The 26,363-nt window shown below is 43.2% G+C and overlaps 1 protein-coding gene across 1 annotated transcript in view; it reads left to right on the forward strand.

Annotated features, from left to right (window-relative positions):
* The window catches only part of LAPTM4B (lysosomal protein transmembrane 4 beta), a 77,226-nt gene that overhangs the window by 28,669 nt on the left and 22,194 nt on the right, over positions 1 to 26,363 (forward strand). The window contains exons 2-6 of the mRNA NM_018407.6: positions 897 to 1,008; positions 10,872 to 10,945; positions 11,602 to 11,724; positions 14,684 to 14,782; positions 20,602 to 20,697. Of these exons, the coding sequence (NP_060877.4) occupies positions 897 to 1,008; positions 10,872 to 10,945; positions 11,602 to 11,724; positions 14,684 to 14,782; positions 20,602 to 20,697 (504 nt within the window). The remainder of the gene's footprint in view (positions 1 to 896; positions 1,009 to 10,871; positions 10,946 to 11,601; positions 11,725 to 14,683; positions 14,783 to 20,601; positions 20,698 to 26,363) is intronic.

A 26,363-nucleotide genomic window follows, 5' to 3' on the forward strand; every position in this document is an offset into this window, starting at 1 on the left:
GAACCTAAATTCCTGGATTCAAATCCCATCTCTACAGCTTGGTAGTTGTTTGTTCCTGGGCAGTGTTTTTTAACCTCTGAGCCTCAGTTTGCTATGTATAACATGGGAATAATTTAGTACCCACTTCGTTAGGTTATTGCAGGGCTTAAGAGAGATTCCACATAAAGCACTTAGCATAGTGCCTGAATGTTTTTCATTAATTATTAATAGCGAGGCCATTTTTTAAATTAGAGAACAAATAAGGAGGGCAGAAGTGGGAGATGTTAAAGAAGGTGATTGTCATTTAGAGGAGCTGAGTTTAAAGTAGCCAAGGGCAGTACTCAGAAGACAGGACTACTGGCCTGGCCTGGCCTGGCCTGGCCTGGAAAGGGTTATTGCAGAAGGATGATCCTGGATCCACTATGTAGCTTTGCATTCATTCTCTGAAACTGCTTCCTAGATGGCTTCAAAGCTCTCAAAGCTCCACTAGTTTGAACCTGTAAAATGTTTGATTAACTGAGACAACTTGGGTTGCTTACCTTTAGCTCTAGAGTGTAGCTGACTCACTGGAAAGTTTTTGTGCTTTTTCAACCACTGGCGCCAGGGCTGATGCCTGTGTTTGTGTGTGTTGTTCACTGCTCTATGGTGCCTGGGCCAGGGGGAATGAGGTAAAATCCTGCTGTTGTCTTCACTCCAAGCCTTGTGCACTTGGCTGCAACTGAATGGGCTGGCAGCATTTCTGCCTTGGGAATGTTTATCTGCTCCCTCCATGGGTGGGGCTTAGTGTTGAGAGTCAAGCCACTGAAGAAGTTGCCTGTGGCCAGCCTGACTCCATGTGGTCAGTGTAATTTTCTATTATAAGGATTGCATCCTGGGGTTACTTAAATTCTTTTTTTTTTTTTTTTTTCTTGTTGCAGATCATCAATGCTGTGGTACTGTTGATTTTATTGAGTGCCCTGGCTGATCCGGATCAGTATAACTTTTCAAGTTCTGAACTGGGAGGTGACTTTGAGTTCATGGATGATGCCAGTAAGTAGTAGATATTTGGGTATTTTCAAGGGCAGGGAATCTGACTGCCAGCACTTCCTATTAAATTACAAATATAGACTCGTGAGTTCATTTGAGCTGATATATAACTTGTCATTGCAAATCAACGAATATTTGTGTGCGTCTAACATTCTGTCTTCTAGGTGCAAGAGTCTAAATAAGATCTATTTTCATCTTATGTTAACTTACCCACTTAAAAATGATTGCATTATCATAGACTTTCTACCCTGGGCCTTTTGGCCTTTTTTGAGAGGAAGGGGTATAAATGCCAGGAAGGAAGGTGAAAAGGCTTGTGCTTATCTCCTTGTGTCTTCTATTATGTTTCAGTATTTATTTTTATTCTAGGAGTGATCCTTTTCCATTCTAGAAATGATGTTGCAGATTATTTGGGGGAATTTAGGGCCTTTTCCCAGTGAATGGAAATATGTACAGGGATGTGGATGTGGGGTAAGCAGGGAGGAAGCTAGGCTCCCAGCTTGAAGATCACTGCAGCCTCATCATTTTATAATCATTATGCCGAGTCCATGCCAAAGGAGAGGAGTAGTGCTGTGCATAATCTCCAGCAGAAGATAGTACAGATTTATTTCTCATTGGCTTCGGAGAACTTCAAGTGAGTTTTTCTTAAAAAGTGTTGGAGCAAAGTAAGAGAGGAGAGAGTGGCTCAACATGCAGTTTTAGAGATCGGAAGCATTCGAAAGACATGGTGAGGGCTCTTTGTTTCTCCAAGTAAGAAAAAGCTGTTCAGTGGTTTTAACTAAATGCATGAACTGATATATGCATTTAAGATCCCTTTTGCTGCTGAGTAGGGTACTGGGTGTGTGAGCACAGAGCCTGGGAGAGTGGTATTGGGGATACCACCTAGGCTGCACTGGGGATAGAGAACAGGGAAGGATTTGGCAACTTGCTGTTTTGGGCAGCGAAGGAGACGGAGGAATCAAAGATGACTTCTGCTTTCCAGTTTTAGGAGATGACCTGCATCTTAACTGAGCTGAGAAAGTCCGGAGTCAGGAGGTGGGAACAGACCTGGGGGAGAAAAATAGACTTTAATTTCAGTAACTAGCTGAGCACAGTTGTTTGGAATTGATATGGTTTGGCTGTGTCCCCACCCAAATCTCGAATTGTATCTCCTAGAATTCCCCTGTATTGTGGGAGGGACCCAGGGGGAGGTAATTGAATTGTGGGAGCTGCTCTTTCCCTTGCTATTCTTGTGATAGTGAGTAAGTCTCATGAGATTGAGGCCGAGGCTGGCAGATCAGCTGAGGCCAGGAGTTCGAGACCAGCCTGGCCAAGGTGACAATACCTCATCTCTACTAAAAATAGAAAAATTAGCCCAGTGTGGTGGTGAGTGCCTGTAATCCCAGCTACTTGGGAGGCTGAGGCAGGAGAATTGCTTGAACCCCAGGTGGCGGAGGTTGCAGTGAGCCGAGATCGCGCCAGTGCACTTCAGCCTGGGCAACAGGTCACTTTTGCTTTTTCTTCATTCTGTCTTGTCACCGCCATGTAAGAAGTCCCTTTCACCCTTTGCCATGATTCTGAGGCCTCCCCAGCCATGTGGAACTGTAAGTCCAGTTAAACCTCTTTTTCTTCCCAGTCTCGGGTATGTCTTTATCAGCAGCATGAAAACAGACTAATACAGGTGTAGGCTCCGAAGCCAGAAGAGGTCAGTTTGAGTTCTGACACCGCCGTGTGTTGAAGATGCTAAACTTGAGCTAGTGACTTATCATTGTGTGCCTCAATTTCCCCCTCTGCAAGATAGGAGTGACTTTATAACCACATGATTTAAACGATAGAAAGTAATTACAGACTGGCCACGGTGGCTCACACCTGTAATCCCAGCATTTTGGGAGCCTGGGAGGGTGGTGGGGATCACTTGAGATCAGGAGTTCAAGACCAGCCTGGTCAACGTGGCAAAACACCATCTCTACTAAAATCTACTTGCCTCAGAGTTGTTGTGAGGATTAAATGAGTTAGTGCGTAAAACATGCTTAGAATGGGGCCTGGCCCATAGGAAGTGCTCAGTACCTTTTGCTGTTTCAGCTACTATTATCTAGATTGTTATGGCTGGAACATGTGAACCATCTTAAAGTGGAGAGGTTACAAAGGTCAGGCATGGGAGTCTGTGGCCCAGAGGAAATATTTGGACTGAGATTACAGATTTGAGGATATCAGCCTAAAAACTGAATTTCTGTTAGGGAAAGAGTAAAAAGAAAAGGCAACGGGGCCCAGAACTGAGCCCTGAAGGAGCTCCAACTGTAAGAGGCCAGGAGGAAGAATGAGAGAGTAACTAACTGGTAGTGAAGTAAACAGAGAACCAAGAGATGCTTTCTAGCCATCATCTTCCACCACTGTTGTTTCATAACATGGATTAAGAAGTTGGGGCATTAAAGTTACTGCAGAGATAACTTAAAAAAAAAAAAAAAAAAAAGGAAAAGTTGGCATTATATTATCCTGGGATTTGAGATCCTGATTAGCTGGGATTATAGGTATGTGCCATCACATGGCTAATTTTTGTGTTTTTTGTAGAGATGGGGTTTCGCCATGTTGCGTAGGCTGGTCTGGAACTCTTGAGCTCAAGTGGTCCACCTACCTTGGCCTCCCAAAGTGCTGGGATTATAGGCATGAGCCACCACAACTGGCCAATTTTCATAATTTTCAAGCACAATTTGAAGTAATTAATTATTCAGGCTGGGCTCAGTGGCTCATGCCTGTAATTCCAGCACTTTGGGAGGCCAAGGCAGGCAGATCACCTGAGGTCAGGAGTTGCGAGATCAGCCTGTCCAACATGGCAAAACCCCATCTCTACTAAAAACACAAAAATTAGCTGGGCATGATAGACACCTGGTAATCCCAGCTACTCAGGAGGCTGAGGCAGGAGAATTGCTTGAACCTGGGAGGGGGGAGTTTGCAGTGAGCCGAGATCGCGCCATTGCACTCTAGCCTGGGTGACAGAGTGAGACTACATTTCAAAATTAAAATAAAATTAAATAATCCATCTCAAGGATTACTAATCCTGTCCACACATGAGTTAAATATGGAAAGCTGTGTCCAATAACCTTTGGCCTATGAGCTTATTTATTAAAGGAGACCAAAACACATATAAAAGAAGTTTAAAAAAACAGATTCAGGTGAATATCCACTTTTCTGTACCTTTATAACCACGTGATTTAAATGATGGAAAGTAATTACAGACTGGGTGCGGTGGCTCACACCTGTAATCCCAGCACTTTGGGAGGCTGGGGGCGGTGGTGGGTGGATCACTTGAGACCAGGAGTTCAAGACCAGCCTGGCCAACATGGCAAAACCCTGTCTCTACTAAAAATACAAAAAAAGTAGCCAGGTGTGGTGGCGTGTGTCTGTGGTCCCAGCTACTTGGGAGGCTGAGGCAGGAGAATCGCTTTAACCCGGGAGGCAGAGGCTGCAGTGAGCCGAGATCATGCCACTACACTCCAGCCTGGGCGACAGAGCAAGACTGCATCTCAGAAAGAAAAAGAAAAAAGAAAGTAATTACAAACTATTCATTCAGTCCTTTCAAATATATAAAATAGGAGAGAAACCACAAAGGCACTGGAATTAACATCCAGGACATTATAAAACAATTACTATTTTAAAGTCTTAAGTACCAGCAAGCCTTTCAGGGTAGCTAAATTAAGCCTATCATGTCAGATAGTTATTACCCAGCTTAATCTCTGGTGATTAGAATAAGGCATGCAGTGTTGCTACCAGATCCAGATAGAACCATAGCATTATCATTTACAACTTCTTTTCCTAACCTCGATTGCCTTAGAAAAGGAATCCCGCTACTGGAATTGTGTAGCTTTAATCTGAGGGGAAAGAAAGCAGAGTGACATGAATTTAACATTAATTAAATATTTTTTCTGGAAGAGTTCATATGAGTATAATGGGGTTATTCAGAATAGACAGAGTAAGAAATGTTAGACCAGGTGCGGTAGCTCACATATGTAATCCCAGCACTTTGGGAGGCCAAAGTGGGTGGATTGCTTGAGCTCAGGAGTTCGAGATCAGCCTGGGCAACACAGCAAAACCCTGTCTCAACCAAAAATATAAAAATTAGTCGGGTGTGATGGTGCGTACCTGTAATCCCAGCTACTTGGAAGGCTGAGGTGGGAGGATCACTTGAGCCTGGGTGGCAGAGGTTGCAGTGAGCCAAGATTGTGTCACTGCACTCCAGCCTGGGTGACAGAGCCAGACCCTGTCTCAAATTAAAAAATTACGAAAATTAATATAGCAATTTTATCTTGATATCTTTTTACATTGGTGACAGCTATCTGAAGATTTCATCCAGCCAGACAGAGCAGAACTCTTTCTCACTTTTGCAGGTGATCCTTTCCATGATCTGGTAGAAGAAAGCTAAATTCCTATTTATATTGAAATGAGGCATATAGGAGAATCTACTGGAATAAAGAAAGAAAATATAAGAAAATGAGTTTAAAAATTTATTTTTGAGGCTGGGTCCCACTCTGTCACCAGGCTGGAGTGCAGTGTCGCACACAATCTGGGCTTACTGCAATCCCTACCTCTTGGGCTCAAGCGATTCTCCCACCTTAGCCTCCCAAGTAGCTGTAACTAGAGGCATGAGCCACCATGCCTGGCTAATTTTTTGTAGAGATGGGGTTTTGTCATGTTGCCCAGGCTGGTCTCAAACTCCTGAGCTCAAGCAATTCGTCATTCTCGACGTCCCAAAGTGCTAGGATTACAGGCATGAGCCACCCTACCCGCCCTCAATTTTTTCAGTGTTATAAAAATTGACTATACTGGGAAAGAATGTGGAACTGGCATAGATTGGAGGAGACACAATTAAATGCACTGTGGGATCCTGGATTAGATTCTGGAAAAGAAAAAGGACATTGAAGGGGAACAGGTAAAATTCAAATTAGTTGTACAGTTTAATTAACAGTGTTGTACCAATGTTAATTTCCTGGTTTTGGTAGTTATGCTACAGCTAGGTAAATTGTTAATAGGGGAAGCAGGGTGAAGGGTATACGTGAATTCTGCTGTGTTTGTAACTTTCCTATATGTCTAAAATGACATCAGAATAAAAAGGTAAAGCACAGGTAGTTCAGTCCACTGACCTAGAAGCTCAAAGAGTAATGTTTGAAAAGCATGTATGTGTGGCATATTGTGTTACACACTCATAGCCCTGAGTAGAAGTAGACTTCATGGAATTTTATTTGTGAAATTTTGTTTGGCAAAGAATTATAACATCAAGTGTCTGTACTATGCATAATATGAAACAGGAGTTCATCCATATTTCTAATTAATTTTGTGGTAGATTTGTCTTTCTGGTCAAACTTACTTTCTTCACTGGGCAGACAAATTTAGCCTGAAGAAAGAAATGGCCAGATAAGTTGTCAAGAAATGATGGCTACTTATATATACAGTCACCTGATTTAGGCTAAAGACACCACTACATTTATTGGAGAAAGGATGGTCTTTTCAATAAATGGTTCTGGGTGAAATTGATAAGAGAAAGACAGACACCTCACAAAAGAAGATATCCATAAGAGAATATTCTCCACATTGCAAGTTATAGGGAATTGCAAATTACAGCTACAGTAGTAAATTACCGTGCCCCTTCAAAATGACCAACATTAACGCAGTTAACAGTACCACCTATTGGTATCGATGCCAAACAGCTGGAACTCTCAAATCACGGCTGGGAATGTAAATCACGCCAACCACTTTGGAAAACTAAAGCTAAATATACATCTACCCTATGGCCCTGCATTCCACTCCTTGATATACGTACACTCCAGGAGTGAAGGCTACACAACTCAGTCCTAGATATATACCCTAGGGAAACAGGTGCTTCATAAATCTGTCGTCAGCCATGTATAAAAATGGTCATAGTAGCTTTATTTATGATAGCCAAAAGTTGGAAACAATCCAGATTTCCAATGGCAGAATGGGCAAAAATGAAGCAATCAGAGATGAAATGATATAAGCAAAATGGGTGATGAGAATTAACTGTACTGTGTGTATGCTTATATATGTATGTGCATGTTTTGAAGTTTTGATAATGAAAACTGAGAAATAGGAAACAGCAACAAAAAAGAATGATGAACCTGAGGAGGGCCGCCTTTCCTGATGGCTCTCAACATCACAAACTAAGGCTCATCTTGCTCTGGCATTTGGAAAGGGCCCTTGGCTGCCTACCTGCCCTCTTCACATACCGCAGACTAACTTGGCAGTCTGCACAGCTTGCCGGCTTGTGCATAAAGATCCTGACAGCCTTGAGGAAATAGAACTACAGCAGCAGGGGAAGCTGAGCCAGGGGAACCATCCTGGCCCTTTATTTTCTTTACTTTTGTATTTTATTTTTTGAGACAGGGTCTTGCTCTGTCGCCCAGGCTGGAGTACAGTAGCACAATCTTGGCTCACTGCAACCTCTGCCTCATGGGCTCAAGCAGTTCTCCCACCTCAGTCTCCTGAGTAGCTGGGACCATAGGTGCGTACCACCATGCCTGGCTAATTTTTGTATTTTTAGTAGAGACGGGGTTTTGCCATGTTTCCCAAGTTGGTCTTGAACTCCTGGGCTCAAGCGATCCATCCACCTTGGCCTCCAAAAGTCCTGGGATTGCAGGAGTGAGCCACCGCGCCCGGCCTGGCTCTTTATTTTCATCAATCTGCCCTCCCATCCTTTCAAAAAAAGTAGCATACTCTACATCTTGACTTTTTTTTAAAGGATAAGTAAATTAATTATTTGTTTTTTTTTTGTTGTTTTTTGTTTTTTTTTTGAGTCGGAGTCTGACTCTGTCACCCAGGCTGGAGTACAGTGCTGCTATCTTGGCTCACTGCAACCTCCACCTCCCAGGTTCAAGTGATTCTCCTGCCTTGGCCTCCCGAGTAGCTGGGATTACAGGCATGCACCACCTTTTGTGTTTTTAGTAGAGACAGGGTTTCACCATGTTGGACAGTCTGTTCTTGAACTCCTGACCTCAAGTGATCCACCTGCGTCGGCCTCCCAGAGTGCTGGGATTACAGGCATGAACGACTGCGCCCGTCCTAAATGTTTATTTTCAAGGAGACTTTTTGCAAAAGTACGCCTTTGTATGTATGAGAAGACCACTAGAGTTGGTGAAGTCACTTGGATCATCTAGGCTAGCCATTTTACTATTCTTCTCTAGAATTGAAGAATGGATGGAAAGCCATGGTTATTGGAGTTGGGAATGAGTCACCTAGATTTAACCTATGTGAGGAGCAGTGACATTTGGACTAGGACTACCACCAACCCAAGACAACCTCAGAGTGGGAGGCACCCTCACTCTACTTCCCTCTTTGTGATCTCATTCCCTCACCAGAGGGCGGAGGGCAAAAGAGCTGTATGTTGATAGCCCAAACAAATCACTGCCTGTGGCAGAGAACAGGGCGTTGAAGAATGGATTTGGAACAGCACCAGAAGCCAGCTGGTAGAGCCACTCCCCTACTTACCTTGATGTTCCACCTAACCAAACTGTGTACATTTCCCTACTTTGCCTACAAGAATACTATAAAAAGCTCTGCTAGTGTCTTACTGAAATCGTAGGATGTTATATTAGTCAGGGTTCCCTAGAGGGACAGAACTAATGGGATATATTTAAGGAAGTTTATTAAGGAGGATTGACTTATATGACCACAAGGTAAAGTCCCATGATAGGCCATCTGCAAGTTGAGGAGCAAGGAAGCCAGTGATGGATCAGTCCAAGTCCCAAAACCTCAAAAGTAGGGAAGCTGACAGTGCAGCCTTCAGTTTGTGGCCAAAGGCCGGAGAGCCCCTGGAAAACCACTGGTGTAAGTCCAGGAGTCCAAAAGCGGAAGAATCTGGTGTCTGATGTTCGAGGGCAAGAAGCATCCAGCACGGGAGAAAGATGGAAGCCGGAAGACTCAGCAAGTCTGCTCTTCATCTTCTCCTACCTGCTTTATTCTAGCCAGGCTGGCAGCTGGTTAGATGGTACCCATACAGATTGAGGGTGGGTCTTCGTCTCCCAGTCCACTGACTGAAATGTTAATCTCCTTTGGCAACGCCCTCACAGGCACACCCAGGAACAATACTTTGCATCCTTCAGTCCAGTCAAGTTGACACTCCAGATGCATTAAGCCTACAGAATCCCCTGGATCTGTTGAGGTCCTGTTTGCCACTGGCTAAGAAGGAGTTAGATCAGCTCTGGTGTCCAGTATTCCTCCTTTCATGCTCTTAACGTGCTCACCGGCTGCTTCTCCAATGCATTTTATTGTTGTTGTTTACATTTTAATGTTTTTGAAATCAGGATGTGATTTGCAATTTAGTAGAGATTTAGTATGCAGATTATGTTTTCCCCTCTAGATCTCTGTCGAAAAAATGCAAAGCTTTTAGAGAAGTTGCATGTACAATGAAAACCAATATTATTTTTCTCATTGACAATAATTTGTTCTGCCAGATCTAGGAAAAGCAGTTTAAAAAAACCAATAGTTTGGGGTTCATTTTTATAAAATTATTTCTTATTAAATATTGAGTAGGTATAAAAGAATATTTATAAAATATTTATTACCCGTAGCAAATAATGGTGCTACAAGCAGTTGTGTACCTGCCAAGTTGGTTTAAGATATTTTTGTCCGGGTGCGGTGACTTATGCCTATAATCCCATAGTGACAATGCCCAGGCAATTGAAGCTGCAATGAGCCATGATCACACCACTGCAACTCCAGATTGGGAGACCAAACAAGACTCCTTATTTACCAGAGATTGACTAAAGGAAAAAAGAAGTTGAAGGCCAGGCATGGTGGCTCACGCCTGTAATCCCAGAACTTTGGGAGGCCGAGGCTGGCAGATCATTTGAAGTCAGGAGTTCGAGACCAGCCTGGCCAACATGGTGAAACCCCCGTCTCTACTAAAAATATAAAAATTGGCATGGTGGAGCACACCTGTAGTCTCAGGTACCTAGGGGGTGAGGTGGGAGACTTGCTTGAGCCTGGGAGACTTGCTTGAGCCTGGGATGCGGAATTTGCATTGAGCCAATGTTGTCCCACTGCATTCCAGCCTGGGCGACAGAGTGAGACTCTGTCTCAAAAAAATAAAAAGAAAAAAGAAAAAATAAATAAAATAGAATGAACCAGATGATATGGCTGTCTTAGAGCAAGCAAGAGAGTGGGACAAGGTGAGGCGAGATTAGAGAGGTAGACTGCTCTGGAATAAAGAGGAACATCAAGGCCTTGATAAGAAATGAAGGTTTTATTTTTATTTATTTATTTTTTTGAGATGGAGTCTCGCTCTATCGCCCAGACCGGAGTGCAGTGGCGCGATCTCGGCTCACTGCAAGCTCTGTCTCCCAGGTTCATGCCATTCTTCTGCCTCAGCCTCCCAAGTAGCTGGGTCAGCAGGTGCCCACCACCACGCCCGGCTAATTTTTTGTATTTTTAGTACACATGGGGTTTCACTGTGTTAACCAGGATGGTCTCAATCTCCTGACCTCGTGATCGCCCTCCTCGGCCTCCCAAAGTGTTGGGATTATAGGTGTGAGCCACCGCACCTGGCCGGAGTTTTTATTTTAAATAAGATCGGAAGCTATGAAGGCTTTCATTAGAGCTTTGAGGCACACATGAGTTTACAAAATAGAAGTTAGACACCTATATATCTATAAAGTAATACCTAATTCATTATTTATATAATCCAGTGGACCAGAAGAACAAACATTAAAAAAATCTGTAAACCAATATCCCTTTTTCTATTTTGAAATAATCTCTTAGTATAAAGTATTTACTAACTTTATGCTAGTTTATTTACAAAATGCCTTTGAGAAGAGACTGAAAGTATTCAGTGGATCCACTACTGATTGTCTTTTTTAAAGAAATTCTTTTTAATCTTTCGGCAGACATGTGCATTGCCATTGCGATTTCTCTTCTCATGATCCTGATATGTGCTATGGCTACTTACGGAGCGTACAAGGTAAGCCGCTTGCAGTAAGATGCTGGCCTTTTCCTTGGTCTCTTACATGTGTAATCTGTGCTGCTGTCTATAGTGAGAAGTGACTTTCCAGTTTTCTGTTAAGAATCTCTGTTTAAATCTCTCGTTTGTATTATGTGGTACTAGGAAAACCAATATTATACTGGAAATTTTTTTTTTTTTGGGAAGACGGGGTCTCACTCTGTCACACAGGCTGGAGTAGAGTGGTGTGATCTTAGCTCACTGCAATCTCCGCCTCCCAAGTTCAAGTGATTCTCCCACCTCAGCCTCCAGAGTAGCTGGGACTACAGGTGTGTGCCACCACACCTTGCTGATTTTTGTATTTTTTAGTAGAGACGTGATTTCACCATGTTGGGCAGGCTAGTCTCGAACTCCTGACCTTAAGTGATCCACCCACCTCAGCCTCCCAAAATGCTGGGATTACAGGTGTGAGACACCACACACAGCCAGTCCTGGAAATGTTCACTGAAGCTTATTTGTTGACTGCTTATATTTGGCATACTGGTTTCCACCATGACCTGGGTTAATGAATTCCAATTTTTCCATTTCCTTTCAGATTAATAAAATACTTTGAATTTAAGAAAAATATTGTTTTATAATATTGAACACATTAACTTTCTATTTTCTGTTCTGTTTAGCAACGCGCAGCCTGGATCATCCCATTCTTCTGTTACCAGATCTTTGACTTTGCCCTGAACATGTTGGTTGCAATCACTGTGCTTATTTATCCAAACTCCATTCAGGAATACATACGGCAACTGGTACGTGGACCTCTTACTGCTCCTTTTCATTAATTCTTTTCATTAGGGAAGCTGGTTAAGTAAGGGATGTGTAGAGATACACAGACATTAATTTCAGGATTTTTAGCTTGCAGCTGAGTTACTCATAGGAAATTTCTTTTTTCTTTTTTTTGAGGTGGAGTCTTGCTCTCGTCACCCAGGCTGGAGTGCAGTGATGCGATCTCGGCTCACTGCAACCTCTGCCTCCAGGGTCTCAGCCTCCCAGCTAGCTGGGATTATAGGCATGTACCAACATACCTGGCTAATTTTGTATTTTTAGTAGAGATGGGGTTTCACTGTGTTGGTCAGGCTGGTCTTGAACTCCTGACCTCAGGTGATCCACCCATCTTGGCCTCCCAAAGTGCTGGGATTATGGGTGTGAGCCACTGTGCCTGGCCTGATAAAGTTTTGAGGGCCGGGGTTATGATTGGTGGCAGTGATGGTGGTGGTTGATGTGCCTACCTAAATTATAGTCCAGTTACTAATAGTCGTATTTGGTAAAATGTAGTTTTCTCAGTTATCAACAAAGGATAGCTTTTTGCCTTTGCTAGTGTGTTGAAAGTGGGACTCTGCTCAAAAACAAACAAAATAATTAGCTGGGAGAGGTGGCACACGCCTGTGACCCTAGCCACTCGGGAGGCTGAGGCAGGAGAATTGCTTGAACCTGGGAGGTGGAGGCTGCAGTGAGCCAAGATCACGCCACTGCACTCCAGCCTGGGCAATAGAGTGAGATCTCATCTAAAAAAAAAGAAAAATCAAAAGAAAGTGGAAAGAAAGTGGAACACTGCTGTATACTAGCTCCCAAATTTGTTTGACCATAGAATCCCTTTCTCAAGCATCATTTTGGGACTAGTTTACGGTTAAATGTCCTTTGTGACCATATGAGTGAATATTGGTGGCAGGGTATTAAGAAGCTTATAATGGCTATGAGGTTGGAATAACTTTATTTATTTTTGGGACAGGGTCTCTGTCACCCAGGCTGGAGTGCAGTGGTGTGATTATGGCTTGCTGCAGCGTTGACCTCCCAGGCTCCCGTGATCCTCCCATCTCAACCTCTTGAGTAGCTGGCACTATAGGCATGCACCACCATGCCCACCTAATTTTTCTTTTTGTATCTTATGTAGAGATGGGGTTTCACCATGTTGCCCAGGCTTGTCTCAAACTCCTAGACTCAAGTGATCCTCCAGCCTTGGCCTCCCAAAGTGCTGGCATTATAGATGTGACTCACTGTACCAGGCCAACTTTACTTTTTTTTTTTTTTTTTTTTGAGACAGAGTCTCACTCTATCACCTAGGCTGGAGTGCAGTGTTGTGATCTCGGCTCACTGCAACCTCCGCCTCCCTGGGTTCAAGCCATTCTCCTGCCTCAGTCTCCTGAGTAGCTGGGATTACAGGCACCCGCTACCAAGCCTGGCTAATTTTTTGTATTTTTAGTAGAGATGGGGTTTCACCATCTTTTCCAGGCTGGTCTCAAACATTTAGCCTCAGAGGATCCACCCTCATCGGCCTCCCAGAGTGCTAGGAATACAGGCGCCCACTACCATGCCTGGCTAATTTTTGTATTTTTTTTTTAGTAGAGGTGGGGTTTTGCCATGTTGACCAGGCTGGTCTCGAACTCCTGACCTCAGGTGATCCGCCCACCTTGGCCTCCCAAAGTGCTGAGATTACAGGCGTGAGCCACCATGCCCAGCCTGCAACCTCAATCTTCTGGGCTCAAGTGATCCTTCCACCTTAGCCTCCCAAGTAGTTTGGACTACAGACATGCACCACCATGCCCGGCTAAATTTGTATTTTTAGTAGAGATGGGGTTTGACTATGTTGTCCAGGCTGGTCTCAAACACCTGCACTCAAGCAATCTGCCTGCCTCAGCCTCCCAAAGTGCTGAAATTACAGGCATGAGCCACTGTGCTTGGCCAAGTTATTTTATTAATAAAAGAGTAAAGTTGCATGATCTGATCACAAAGAATGACGATTTTATTTCTTAGATATTTTGTCCCAAGTGAAAGGAGACTGAAAACCATTAGGTGGTGTTCACCCTGGTGAGCAGGAGCCAAGCCCATGAGTCATGGGCCTTCTCCATGTTCTTCCTCAACATTGGAAACAACTTTGTTTTGGAATATTGCTCGTGAGGAATCCAAACACATAGTGTTGAATGGTGAAGGGAGATAAAAGATGAGATAGCACAGTAGGCTGCCTTCCCATTCACTTGCCTAGGCCAGTGATGTAGGCGTTGATCAATGCTGTGTGAGTGTTCTGTGGGGAAAGTCCGGCAACTCCCTCTAACCATAGTAGCAGACTTTGATCCTCCTGAAAAGGTTCCCTTTGACCTGGTTGTTAAGCATTGTGGATGGTAGTGCTTGATTATTTCCCCCCACCCTGGAAGTACTTGCTAGTATAAGAGAATATGCTGTCTTGGGAGAAGTACCATCAACAAAAATGCTCTTTGCAAAGAAGACCTCATTTTAGTAGGTTTCTGTCCCTTGCCCTGCATATGCCCTTTAGAATGGTTCAGAACTTTTGAGACATGGTCTGGCTCTGTCGCCCGGGCGGCTGGAGTGCAGTGGCATGATCTCGCTCACTGCAACCTCCACCACCAGGGCTCAAGTGATTTGCTCACCCCAGCCTCCCAAGTAGCTGAGCTGGGCGACAGAGAGAAACTCCATCTCAAAAAAGAAAAAAAAAAAAAAAAGGAATGGTTCAGAACTTGCAGAGAATACAAATTTCAGAGATCCCTGGATATACAAAATGTCCCTGGATACCGATCACTGACGTCTTTTATATGGTAAGAGGGCAGAGTCAGGCTAGAAATTTTGTATTGGTTCTAAATAATAGCTGTCTGCTTTAATCAGTTGCTTTCTGATAAGCATGTCTGAATTGGTGCCCAAGGAATACTGTCTGGAATGATTAATGAGATTTGCTAATGAGGCCCTTTTCTTTTGCAGCCTCCTAATTTTCCCTACAGAGATGATGTCATGTCAGTGAATCCTACCTGTTTGGTCCTTATTATTCTTCTGTTTATTAGCATTATCTTGACTTTTAAGGTAAGCATGAAGATTTTACTTATAGTCTAAAAATATTAAGTGTATTCCTGAATACCAAATAAGTAAACAAACTTTGGTCAGTTTATTGTCTTTCTTTGGACATCCAAATTGCTTTTTGATTTCCTAAGATTACAATTCTTTATGCTGTCTATGTTGGAGGTAAACACTAATCAAAATTCCACAGTTTGATCAAGGAGTCCAAAATATATTTGGACAGAGATAAGTTAACATAATGTTATACATTACATAGTATATGATATTGCAACGTCTGTTACAAGGTCTGTGTAATGGATATTCTTTTGTAATTTTTTGCTAAAAGTGTAATATTTTCTGAATATTGTTCTATCTCAATCCATTATATGAATATCATTATTTAATAAATTACTTGATGAGCATTGAGACATTTTTTACTTTTTCACTTAATAGGGCTGTAGTGAATATATTTAAGTACATCCTTATATTTATGCATTTATCTCAAGATAAATTTCCTTTTTTTTTTTTTTTTTTTTTTTTTGAGATGGAGTCTCGCTCTGTCGCCCAGGTTGGAGTGCAGTGGCGCAACCTCGGCTTACTGCGAGCTTCGCCTCCCGGCTTCACGCCATTATCTTGCCTCAGCCTCCCCAGTAGGTGGGACCACAGATACCCGCCACCATGCCCAGCAAATTTTTTTGTATTTTTAGTAGAGATGGGGTTTCACTGTGTTAGCCAGGATGGTCTCGATCTCCTGACCTCATGATCCGCCCACCTCGGCCTCCCAAAGCTGGGATTACAGGCATGAGCCACTGTGCCCGGCTTCAAGATAAATTTCTTAAAATCAGGGTGTTCATGGTTGGAAAGCCTTTGATAGGTTGTCAAATTGATGTCCCCCAAAGTTAAATGACTTCTACTTCCTGCAGCAGTGCCTCACCCTTATCAATCAATTGCTGCAAATTCTTTTTCATCTTGGTCAATCTGTTTATAAAACCATCATTATAACTTGTGCTTATGAGCTACTAATGGGTAGAAAACTCTCATGGCTCTTTATGCTTTCAACTTTTTTCTTTTTTTATTTATTTTTCTTTCTTTCTTTTTTTTTTTTTTTTGAGGTAGGGTCTCTCCCTGTAGTCTAGGCTGCCTCCTGCCTTGGTTTCCCAAAGTTTTGGGATTACAGGTGTGAACCACTGCACCCAGCATACTTTGAATTTTTGAATCTCAATGCCTTTCATTGTCTTAATTTTGGCATAAAATTATGTCATTCTTCAAAAATCATGCCTCAGTAAACTTGGGAAAGCTGCATTGAGGCAGAAAATTCATATAGGTACTGTGATGAAAAGGAGTAGAAAGAAAGTGGTTCATTGGAAACCAGTTGGCCAGGTGAAATGGCTCACACCTGTGATCCCAACACTTTGGGAGGCTGAAGTGAGAAGATTGTTTGAGCTGGGAGTGTGAGGCTGTAGTGTGCTATGATAGCAGCACTGTACTTCAGCCTGGGTGACAGAGTGAGACCCCGTCTTGTTGTTGTTGTTGTTGAGACAGAGTCTCACTCTGTCACCTAGGCTGGAGTGCAGAGGTGCGATCTCGGCTCACTGCAACCTCTGCCTCCTAGGTTCAAGCAATTCTCCTGCCTCAGTCTCACGAGTAGCTGGGACTACAGGCGCCTGTTACCACACCCAGCTAATTTTTGTATTTTAGTAGAGACGGGTTTCACCATGTTGGCCATGCTGGTGTCAAACTCCTGACCTCAGGTGATTTGCCTGCCTCGGCCTCCCAAAGTGCTGGAATTACAGGCATAAGTCACCACACCTGGCTGGGGACACCGTCTCTTAAAAAATAAATAAGGCCGGGTGTGGTGGCTCATGCCTGTAATCCCAGCACTTTGGGAGGCCAAGACGGGTGGATCACGAGATCAGGAGATCGAGACCATCCTGGCTAACATGGTGAAACCCTGTCTCTATAAAAATACAAAAAATTAGTTGGGCATGGTGGCGGGCGCCTGTAGTCCCAGCTACTTGGGAGGCTGAGGCAGGAGAATGGCATGAACCCAGGAGGCAGAGCTTGCAGTGAGATGAGATCGAGCTACTGCACTCCAGCCTGGGCGACTCCATCTCAAAAAAAAATAGTGAAATGTTGGGGTGATCAGACCCAACACCAGGTCGTGGGGGTTGTGAAGTCCGGCGGAGTCAGAGGAATGAGACAAGACAAGAGTACATAGAGTGGGTCCAGGGGTCCAGTGCCAGTTTGGAGGCTGCGAAGGCCCTGAGCTCTGGGAGTCCACACTATTTATTGGTAATCAAACAAAGAAGCAGGTAGTGAGGACGTGTGGATGTAGGGGTGGACAGGTGAGGACGTGAGGATAGAAAGGTAGTGGTGCATCAAGCGTAGCTGTGACGGTTTTGCATATGCTCTGCTACTTGAGATAAGGGAGAACAGGTTCTTCTAATTCGAGATGCAATCAATTTGTGATCTTGGGAGAGCAAGGAGCAAGGGGCCAGCGAGTCTGGATATATTCCACAGGCTACAAGGGGTTTTATGCTCTGGGCTTAGATTGTAGTGCGGCAGGGCAGCCTTCCACCCTTTGGCACAGAGCTTGGTGTTCCATAGGCCACAAGGGGTTATAGACCCTGGACCCAGGACATGTTCCAAGACACTTTTACCTTATGTCAGAAGCCCTGCCTCAGCTTTTCTGCCAACATAAATAAAAAAATAAAAACAAAAATAAATAAATAAATAATGAAAGAAAATGAATTGAGTCTAAATTTCCATCATAAAACACCATGATTTCATGTGTCATTCAGCAGTTAAGGATGGGAGTGAATTTTACACACGGATGTTGGGCCTTACTGCCTTGCAGCTCCAGCTCCTCCGCTCCAGTTTCTTGGCTGGTATTTGGCCCCACATGTTGTCCTCTGACCTCCAAGCCTGTGAGGCTAGGGCTGCCTACCATCCAGGCTGCAGGCAGGGCTGGCAGTGCCCCCTGGTGAAAGGCCACAGACTCACATCTCACTCATTGTAGTTCGTCTTTGAAGGGTAGACTCCCCTTTTGACTTCTGCTTGTTTTTGGTCAGTCTCCCATGACTTAAAATTTGTGTGTGTGAGTAATTTTTCTAGATTTTATAAATCTTACCTGCAGGAAGGTTAGTCTGACCAAGCTAACTCTGCCATTACCAGAAACTCGAAGCTAGGACCTCACAATTATCTTTAAAAAGACTTTTTAAATCTTTTAAACATTTTCACTTGTACTTATTTGAAATGCCCACATCACATTTTGAGTCAGAGGACCTAGGGTTAGCTTCTGTCAGTATGACTTCTATTTTATTTATTTATTTATTTATTTATTTATTTATTTATTTATTAAGGCACAACCATGTTCATCATTACTAGTCATATGGTCTAAATTAGCAAAACCATAGCAGAATAAAATATACTACTCATTGATGTATTTATACAGACATTAAAAGATATTTTTGAATGCACTTAATTTTTTAAAAAAATTTTGTGGGTACATACCAAGTGTATATATTTATGGGGTATATGAGATATTTTGATACAGTGCAGAATAATCACATCATGGAAAATCGGGTGTCCATCCCCTTAAGCATTTAGTCATACTCTTTTAGTTATTTTTTTTATTTATTTTTTTTGAGACAAGAGTGTCACTCTGTCACCCAGGCTGGAGTGCAGTGGTGTGATCCCGGCTCACTGCAACCTCTGCTTCCCGGGTTCAAGCAATTGTCCTGCCTCAGCCTCCCGAGTAGTTGGGACTACAGGCGCCTGCCACCATGCCCGGCTAGTTTTTTGTATTTTTACTAGAGACAGGGTTTCATCGCGTTAGCCAGGGTGGTCTCTATCTCCTGACTTTGTGATCCGCCCACCTCGGCCTCCTAAAGTACTGGGATTACAGGTGTGAGCCACAATGCCCGGCCCACTAAATAGTTCTAATTCAATATTGCAGAAGTGTGAAATAAGAAATAAGGTCAATGAAAGAAGTACCTGGGCTTTTCAAGACAGCAGGTCGAGGTTTTTCCCCTTTTGGAGTGTGTAGTAGGTGAATGCATGTGGCCTTGCAAAGGCCCTTGAGAATGCCTATTCTGGGCATTCCATGCGAATACAATCATCATACAATATGGTTTTTTTTTTTGTTTTTTTTTTGTTGTTGTTGTTGTTGTTGTTTTTTTGAGACGGAGTCTCACTCTGTCACCCAGGCTGGAGTGCAGTGGCGCAATCTCGGCTCACTGCAACCTCCACCTCCCAGGTTCACTTGATTCTCCTGCCTCAGCCTCCCACATAGCTGGGATTACAGGCATGCATCCCAATGCCCGGCTAATTTTTGTATTTTTAGTGGAGACGGGGTTTCACTGTGTTGGCCAGGCTGGTCTCAAACTCTTGGGTTCAAGTGATCCACCCACCTCGGCCTCCCAAAGTGCTGGGATTACAGGTGTGAGCCATCGTGCCCAGTCCCATTATTATTATTATTTATTTAGTTTTTTTTTTTTTTTCGGAGATGGAGTCTCGCTCTGTCACCCAGGGTGGAATGCAGTGGCACGATCTTGGCTCACTGCAACTGCCACCTCCCGGGTTCAAGCAATTCTCCCGCCTCAGCCTCCTGAGTAGCTGGGACTACAGGCGCACGCTGCCACACCCAGCTAATGTTTTTGTATTTTAGTAGAGATGGAGTTTCACTGTGTTGCCCAGGCTGTTCTCTAAACTCCTGAACTCAGGTAATCCACCAGCCTCGGCCTCCCAAAGTGTTAGAATTACAGACGTGAGCCACCTTGCCTGGCCCCGCCCCATTATTTTTATTGTTGTTAATACCACATTGTATGGATGGTGCCACATTTTGTCTATCCATTCATCAGTTGAGGGACATTTGGGTTGCTTCTACTTTTTGGCTATTATGAATAATGCTGCTGTGAACATTCAAGTTTTTGTGTGGATGTATATTTTCATTTTATTCGGTATATATTATATATATACTATATGTAGAATACCTAGGAGTGGAATTGCTGGGTCCTGTTGTAACTCTGTTTAACCTTTCGAACTGCCGGACTTTTCCAGAGTGGCTGCAACCATTTTACATTCTCATAAGCAACGTATTTCCTGGATTTTAGCAATCTAGTTTCTCTATGTGTTTAAACTTCTTTTAATCAAAGAATTTTAATGTTAAGGGATTTTGAAATCCTTTAGTTCTAATCCAATTACACATGATGGAATGAAAGTACAGAGTTCATAGCTTAAACATCTCCCGTGAACTCATGTTTCATTTCTAAGCAGTATTTATGTTGGACATTAATTTTAAGTATCGTCGTCGGATATTTCGTTAATAAAGGGGAAATGTTTTAGTGAATTTTATTGACTGTGAGATAAATTTATATGCTATGAAATTTTTAAAAAAATCGACTTGTGTAATAAAATCACAGATAATCATATAGAAGAAAAATTTCCAAAGAAGCAGTTAAACTGTGGCAATAAATGAGTTAATACATTCGATTGTTCTGTGAATTCAGGAGCGATAATGTTAATTGTGTGCTTGTTCTTTCCAGACACTTATTCTTAGAAATTTCTCATTCAACTCTCATCCCTCCCCTCTCCCAACTTCCCCCAGTACCACCCCCATACCCCCATTGGTGTAATAGAATACGGCTCCAGTAGCACATTGTGCCAAGAAGTTACTATACCCAACATTTGTACTTTCAGGGACTTTTGGTTTAGTAGAGCTGTTATAATATGTGCATTTATTGCTTATGTCAATAAAAGTTTTATAATATGGCTTTATCTGTGTGGTATTCTAAATTACCTGCAGTTTGAAAATTAAAAATCTGATAATCACTCCTCATTTTCAGGGTTACTTGATTAGCTGTGTTTGGAACTGCTACCGATACATCAATGGTAGGAACTCCTCTGATGTCCTGGTTTATGTTACCAGCAATGACACTACGGTAGGTATGATGTCACTTATGGTAGAGATCTCGCCCACACCTTTACTGTATGCTGATCTTTAAGTGTTTCTAGTGTTTGCTACATTTTTATTGTTACTGAAACATACTCATGAGCTGCTTAGTTATCAAAAGATTCATCTTAGTTATCAAAATACTCATTTAACTATGAAGTTAAATGTATTTTGTTTTTCTTACAGGATATTAAAATGTAGATGGCTCAACTCTGGTTTATTTTAAAATGTATTACAGATAGATAATATATGTACCTTACTGTAATTATTTATCTTAAACCTGCATTGTTAAACCATGGTGTATAATTCTAGATATCGCTTCTGCATTGTATGACATTATATTAACTCACTTTATATGTGAAGTTAAACCAAGATGCGATGTTTACAGGTAGGTAAAAAAGAACTGCAAAGTTACTATGTCTTTGTAATTTATCTTATGTATGTATTCTTAGTAAAATAATTTAGATGATCTCTGTTCTGCTACTAGTTGCTCATACTTTAAAATTGCAAACCTGTCATAAAAGATTTTTGAAAACATGTCTTCACTGGAAGAGTCCATGAAAACATATGCACTTTATGTAAATTATCTTGAAATTTCCTGGCTCATGGTAAGATGAAGGTATAAGTCCTCATGGTGTCTCTGTCGTCACTGCCTGATGTAATGCACAGTACCAGGAAGTGCTCCATGCATGGTTAGTGAAAACGATGGGGATGGATGACATGTAACTGTGTGGCATGGGACAGGATGGGTGGGTCAAAACGGATAGGATTGGACTGGACGGGTGAAAGGAACACATAAATGGTAGGACGTCAAATTTATACTAGAGTAGAGTTTTGTGTTTTTGGTTTTTTAGTTTGCTTGTTTTTTTCTGGTGACTTGCTCACTCTGACCTTACCGAAATAATCCAGCCTGTTCCTTACTTTACTTTCTTGTGTATAAAATGAGACTAAAACAGTTACAGACTTTGTATTAAATATATGGGTGTAGGCTACTGTATTACTGAGAACTCTGTGTGATAGCTAAAGCATGTTATACACTGACAGTTTTCCTAAATGCTCACCACACATTTCTTGAGTTCAATCAAATATGCATGAGCAGTGGTTTAATAGACAGCCATGACCAGATGCACAAAACCTGGCATACCCAGGTGCTGAGGAGGCTCGTTTTGGGAGTCTGCAGAATTCTGTGTATTGATTACAGTAATCACGTGTTCTGCTCAACCCCTTTAAAATATCACTCCTGGGTCTGTAACTCTCTTTGAAAGAAATATCTATTCAAAATTTTCGTGATTTTGATAAAATTACTGGCTTAAGAATTTTTTTCCTTTTCTCTGAGTTGTTGGGTATTTTTTCATTTGTTTTACCCATTAACTTTTTTTGTTCGCCCAGGCTGGAATGAAGTGGTGTGATCTCGTCTCACTGCAGCCTCCACCCCCTGGGTTCAAGTGATTCTCCTGCCTCAGCCTGCCGAGTAGCTGGGATTATAGGTGCCCACCACCACGCCCGGCTAATTTTTGTATTTTCAGTAGAGATAGGGTGTTGCCATGTTGGCCAGATTGGTCTCGAACTCCTGACTTCAGGTGATCCACCTGCCTTGGCCTCCCAAAGTGCCAGGATTACAGATGTGAGCCACTGTGCCCGGCCTGTTTTACCCATTAACTTTTGCAGAAGGCAAGTTGTTGTTTAGCCATCTATAAATTTTTTCTTTTTCTTAAAACAAATAAAAAGTCCATAATTAGTGTTCTACTGAACTAATGAAAAATGTAAGCAAGGTTTGAGATTTTTAAGTTTGAAGAACCAGTAAAGTTGTTACACAAGATACATCAGAACCTCTTTGTAAATTTCATGGCACATAGGGCTTATAAAGCCACCATCTTTTAGAAGTATCTCAGAGCAGAGAATAATACCCATATTGCATGTGCTTGTTTTGATATGGTGGTGTTATGAAAGAGGAGGCGATACATAGGTTTTCATCCACAGTTCCTGGCTCTTAACTCTTCATAGCCATTGTTAGTCTTTGGTTATTACCCTAGGTGTGTCAGGTCTTAGGGAATCTCTGACTTACTTCTGCACTAAGGCAGGATTCTAATCTTCCCCCTTCCTTTCTAACTGTGGGTCTTAAGACCTTCCCTAAAGAGGGTCCAGCCTCGTACCCTGAGGGAAGGAATGCTGACTGTCCTTAGGAATGCTGAAGCTTCCTTAGGGATAGCTGAACTCCTGGAGGTTCCTTGAGGGTGGTACACCCAGGAAGGGCTTGGAAGCTCCATGTTCCTTCCCCCATATCTATGAATCTCTTCATCTGTATCCCTTGTATCCTTATAATAAGCCAGTAAACCTCAGTAAGTGTTTCTGAGTCCAAAATGTTATGGGAACCTCAACTTGAAGGCTGGTTGGTCAGAAGCTCCTGAGGCCCAGACTTGCAGAGTGTTGGAGTGGGGAGGGGACACTTTTGGGGATTGAGCCCTTAACCTGTGGGATCTGACACTGTTTCCAGGTAGATAGTATTATGTGCGCATCTAAGCGAAGAGACAACCTGAAAAGGCTAAGTGTGAGCAACAAGGCTGTTTATTCACTCAGGTGCGAGCGGGCTGAGTCCGAAAAAGAGAGTCAGCGAAGGGTGGTGGGATTGGAGCTAGTTTTATAGGTTAGGGGTAAGCAGTGGAAAGTTACAGTTAGGGGCCGTTTATTGCGGGCAGGGGAAGGGGTCACAGGCGGGAAGGGTCACAGGGCACAATGTCACAAGGTTGATCGATCAGTTAGGGTAGAGTCTGTTACAATGGTAGAATGTTGCAAGGTTGGCTAATAAGCTAAGACGGCAGCTAGCTGTTTTTCTTCTTTTGTGGTTTTCCTGTTGTCCTAGACTTTCTGGCTCCAGGAGGCCTTCTGGATGTATACGTGTGGGTCACAGAGGTTACAATGGCTTGACCATGGTGCAGCTTTCTCAGAAGACCTCACATTCCTGGCTTTTTATATTAATAATGGAAAAACAAAAATGAGAAAGAGTAGTGAAGTATGGAGAAAATTTATGGTGTAAATTTTGGGGGTGGTATGGAGGGATGATGGGAGATTTTTCTCAGCGCTGCTTCAAGCGGGATTAGGGGTGGCGTGGGTACCTAAAGTGAGAGAGAAAGGTTAAATTGAAGGGAGACCCTGGGGCAGGGGGTGACATTGTCGAGTTGTTAAAAGGAGCATATGTCGAATTTAGTGATTAGTAATAGCTTGGATGCTGTTTTGTATGAACAGAGAGATTAGCCTGAAAAGACAAGGTCCGAATAAGAGAAGGAGAAGGATGAGTGCTAAAGGGCCTGTTAGTGGGAGGAGCCATGAAGCTAAGCTAGAGAATGGCCAAGTAGGTCCAGTATAACTATCTGCCTGATTAGTGAGTTTTTGAGCTCTGTCTTTAAGTTTTTTGATATTGTCGTATACAAGGCCTGATTGATTTACGTAAAAGCAGCATTCTTCATTTAAGAATAGGCAGAGTCCTCCTTTTTCAGCAGTAAGCAGATTGAGGCCTCAGCGATTTTGGAGGACAACTGCGGCTAAGGAATCGACTTGGGATTGGAGGACAGAAAGTGAGTTATATCGGTAAGGCTAGCGGAGAAGTCATTGGAGAGACTGCGAAATGTGGTGATAGAAGTTGCAAGGCCTGCTACTCCTGTTCCGATTGCGGCAGTGGAAACTCCTAATCCTATAAGCAAGGGAATTCATCGAATGACTCTTTTTTGTCTTGTTGGAGTTATAAGGGGAATGGGGAGTTGCTCGCTTCCGTTTGCAAACTGGGTTTTGGGAGTAAGGAAGATTTAAAGTGCAGGTGCCTGTCCGGTTAGCAGGGAGGCACATGTAGGTGGAAGAGCTGCAGAGGAAAAAGAGTCCTTGAGGCAGGCAGAACTGGAAATGCAGAGTAAAAAGGTAAGAGTGTGTTCTGGAAGTGGGGTCCTGCACCCAGACCCCTAGGGATCCAGCAAGGGTAGCAGCTGTTAGAGGTTGTAGCGGGGTTTGGTAGGGGAGCTGCGTGGAGGGAGAGGTTCTATTTTCATGGTGTATAAGAAAGCGCTTGGTATCTACAAGTAGCCATTCACTGTTATTTATAAGACTAGGTATAAGCAGGCAAGAAGAAGGACTTGGAGGGGAATCTGTTGAACGGGGGAGGGTAGCCAAAGATCGAGCAAGTGAGCGGTAAGCGTCTTTCTAGACAAAAGTTGCTACCAATGTTTTAAAGACTGTTTGTGATGAGAGTGGGACTGGAATGCTCCAATTTTCTGGTTGATGTGAGTGTTGGGGCTTTGGAGGTGAAGAGTAAAGGAACATAAGGAAGACGGGAGGTTACCTAAGGGAATTCCAGTAGGTAATTGTTGGGAGATGCATAAGGGAGCAGCAATGGGGATAGTTGTCTGTGTAGCGAGGTGTCCAAGAACAGGGGGTGTGGAATTGATGTAGGGAGATAGACCTCGTAGGTAGGTAGGGAGAAGAGCAGCAGCCTGTTAGTATGAGATATTGGGGGAGTTTTTGCTGAATTTTTCTTTTCTTTCTTCTTTTTTTTTTTTGAGACAAGAGTCTTGCTCTGTAGCCCAAGCTGGAATGCAGTGGCACAACCTCGCTCACTGCTGCCTCTACCTCCCAGGTCCTGGTTCAAGCAATTCTCCTGCCTCAGCCTCCTGAGTAGCTGGGATTATAGGCACGCACCACCATTCCCAGCTAATTTTTGTATTTTTGGTAGAGATGGGGTTTCACCATGTTGGCCAGGCTGGTCTTGAACTCCTGACCTCGTGATCCACCTGCCTCGGCCTCCTAATGTGCTGGGATTACAGGCATGAGCCACCGCGCCCAGCCCCTGCTGAATTTTCCAGAAAGTGAAGAAGATGTTCGGGAGGGTAAAGGTGTGGGGGTCACTGAAAGAGGTTTGGAGGTGTAAGGAGATGGGGGAGGTTGCCTAGTCAGCTAGTAGGGCAGGGACAGCTGTGTAGTAGGAGGAAGAGAGGGAAATGCATAGCCAACAATTTTTTGCTAAGAAAGGATTAGAGACGGTGAGGAGAGAGTGGGTGGGTGAGGTTGATGGTATGTTGGAGATAATTAGGGAGGGGTAGAGGGTAGCAGGAGAACGGGAGTGAGACCCAAAGTGAGTAGAAAAGAACTTCATCGAGGTGGAAGAATTGGAGAGTGCCTTGCCACACAAGGTCACCTATCCACTCTAGGAGAGAGTTAAGGGTGGCACCTTGAGGGTGAGACCAGGAGATGTCAGTTACAATGGTCCAGAGGAAAAGCGTGAGCCGGCAATGTAGACAAAAGCAGGGCATTTAGAAGTAGGCAAGAATGGTGATTAGGGACCTAGGTAGACATTAAGTAGTGGGGTGGCTATGTAAAGGCCTATTGTAAATGAAAGATACAAAGGGCTGTTGTTCTTTTTCAGGAATGCGAGTAAGTTGAAGAGAAGTGGGGGAGAGTACTTGCGACTTCCAGAAGGAGGTAGAGGAGTTAGGCTGGTGGTCAGATGGGCACAGTTTTATCCTGGAGCGATGAACCCAGTGGGGAAGGTTCTGTAGACGGACCGTGGTTGGAGTGCTGTAAACAACCTGGTAGGGTTCCTGTCCACCGAGGTTGTAGAGTTTGAGGGGTTAGTTCTTAACAAGAACTGACCGTCGGGCTAGGATGTCTTTA

Source organism: Homo sapiens, chromosome 8, assembly GCF_000001405.40.
Source record: "Homo sapiens chromosome 8, GRCh38.p14 Primary Assembly".
Lineage (NCBI taxonomy): Eukaryota > Metazoa > Chordata > Mammalia > Primates > Hominidae > Homo > Homo sapiens.